A 2,176-nucleotide genomic window follows, 5' to 3' on the forward strand; every position below is an offset into this window, starting at 1 on the left:
ATGGTTGTTTATGAAATACTTCTCTTTTATCTTCAATAATATTTTTCATCAAGTGAGTGTGTATTGCTGTTTTTAATACATGACAAATGAAGCATGAACATATTTATCAAAATAATATTTCATTGAAATAGTCTATTAATTAGAACCAAACATGATGTTGCATGTTGTAAATATTACTCTGCATTCTGCATCTATTGATGTTTGGGGAAAGAAAGGCTATTTTTTTTTTTTAGTTAATAGTCATTTTATAAAAATTTATATTTGAATATACTTTCATTTTTCCTAAGCAGAACTTTGCATGGCTAGCTGATGCTTATTTCTAGTATCGTGCATCAGAAACAATACCTAAATAGTACAGAGTTTTTATTGCATACAACATATTCCAGAGCCAGTAGTAGGCTTCTCATAATTGTTCTGCAAAGACAAAGCTTAAGTTTATGCAGAGCCAATTCCTGGGTTTCCATTTTTCACGAGTCCCTATCTCTCAAGGAGAGGATATGTAAGAAGGACTTGGGGGTTGGTGTCCAATACCGTAGACTTCTCCCTTCTGTGAGGCAACAATGCTTATTCTACCATTGATACCTATAGAAAACAGCTCTCACCCTGGCTGGCAAAACCAAAAATAAATTCTATTGGAAAAGTCTAAGAGAAAAGTGGTATCATGACTACTGATGAGTTAAACCTTCCAGCCTCTGCTGAGCTGGTCCAGTTGGTACCTCACAGTATCGTCCACTGTAGTATAATATGTACAGCTAGATTATTTGAAAATTCGACCGCATAATTGATAATAAAACCAAAAGAGCTTTAATATTAATGTTCTCTCATTGAGGAGTGAGTACAATCTCACTGTGAGGACACAGTGAAATCTTAGGGGTTTCTTAAGTGGGGTAAGCATTCCACAGAGGATGGAGGAAGAAAAACTAGAACTTAAATATATATTTATTCCATCTCATTCTTTTATATTTCTTTGGTTGTAGTAAGGTATATAAAATATGTAATATATTAGTGCAATAGCATATACATATAATTTATAAATACATAAATATACATATTAACTGGACATTTGTTCAGATTGTTTTTCTAAGATATATACATGATGAAAGCAGAACAGAGACCCTGTTACAGATAATAAGGATAGAGCTGTTCCATGAGAAGTGCCGTTATAAGAAAACACATTCACAGAGGAACACATAGATACCCAAGATAGAAAGGATTATAAAAACCCTTAGGAGGAGGGCTCATATATTTATTACCCATTCAGCAACCCCCCTCCCCATTTCTTGTTTCGTAGGTTTCAAAGCCTTTTCAAGGTGGCAGAGGGAAGTCATCCTGCCTTTCTTTTTTAGCTTCTGTGTGAACTTGAGTCCCATTCTTTATTCTTTATAGGAGTGTGCAGATCTCCAATTATTCATGCTTAAGTTTCATTCTGGGGTTGCAAGAGAATATAAAATGCAGTGCTACCTTTGAGGTCTATCATTTTAAGATCTGCTAGATTTATATGATAGAAATGTAGATTTTTATAGAGGACAGCGGAAAGTCATATCTTGCACAGGTGTCACTGAAAATTTACCTTTAATATCTAAGAATATGCTCTTTCATGAACTGCTCTCCTGGAGATGAAGAGAAGTGTTTTACTTTGCCAATTTTTTTTTTTTTTTTTTTTTTTTTTTTTTTTGAGACAGAGTTTCCCTCTTGTTGCCCAGGCTGGAGTGCAATGGCGCGATCTCGGCTCGCTGCAACCTCCGCCTCCTGGATTCAAGAGATTCTCCTGCCTCAGCCTCCAGAGCAGCTGGGATTACAGGCACGTGCCACCACAGCCCGGCTAATTTTTTTTGTATTTTTAGTAGAGACAGGGTTTCTCCATGTTGCTCAGGCTGGTCTCGAACTCCCGACCTCAGGTGATCCACCTGCCTCGGCCTCCCAAAGTGCCGATTACAGGCGTGAGCCACGGCGCCCGGCCTACTTTGCCAAACTTTTGACTACTGATGGTGTACGCGTGCCCTGGCAGGGATGGCCATTGTGCTGTCAGTATCAAGGGATGGCTAACAGCACCCACCACAATGTCAGCTATGAAAGGATTCAGAAAATAGCCTTCTGTAAGTCAGAATTTATTAATTAAGGAGTAGGGCCATGGAAGATGTCAACATAGGAATAGGTTTCAGATTCTAAACTGTAG

The sequence above is a fragment of the Homo sapiens genome, chromosome 15 (assembly GCF_000001405.40).
Source record: "Homo sapiens chromosome 15, GRCh38.p14 Primary Assembly".
Taxonomy (NCBI): domain Eukaryota; kingdom Metazoa; phylum Chordata; class Mammalia; order Primates; family Hominidae; genus Homo; species Homo sapiens.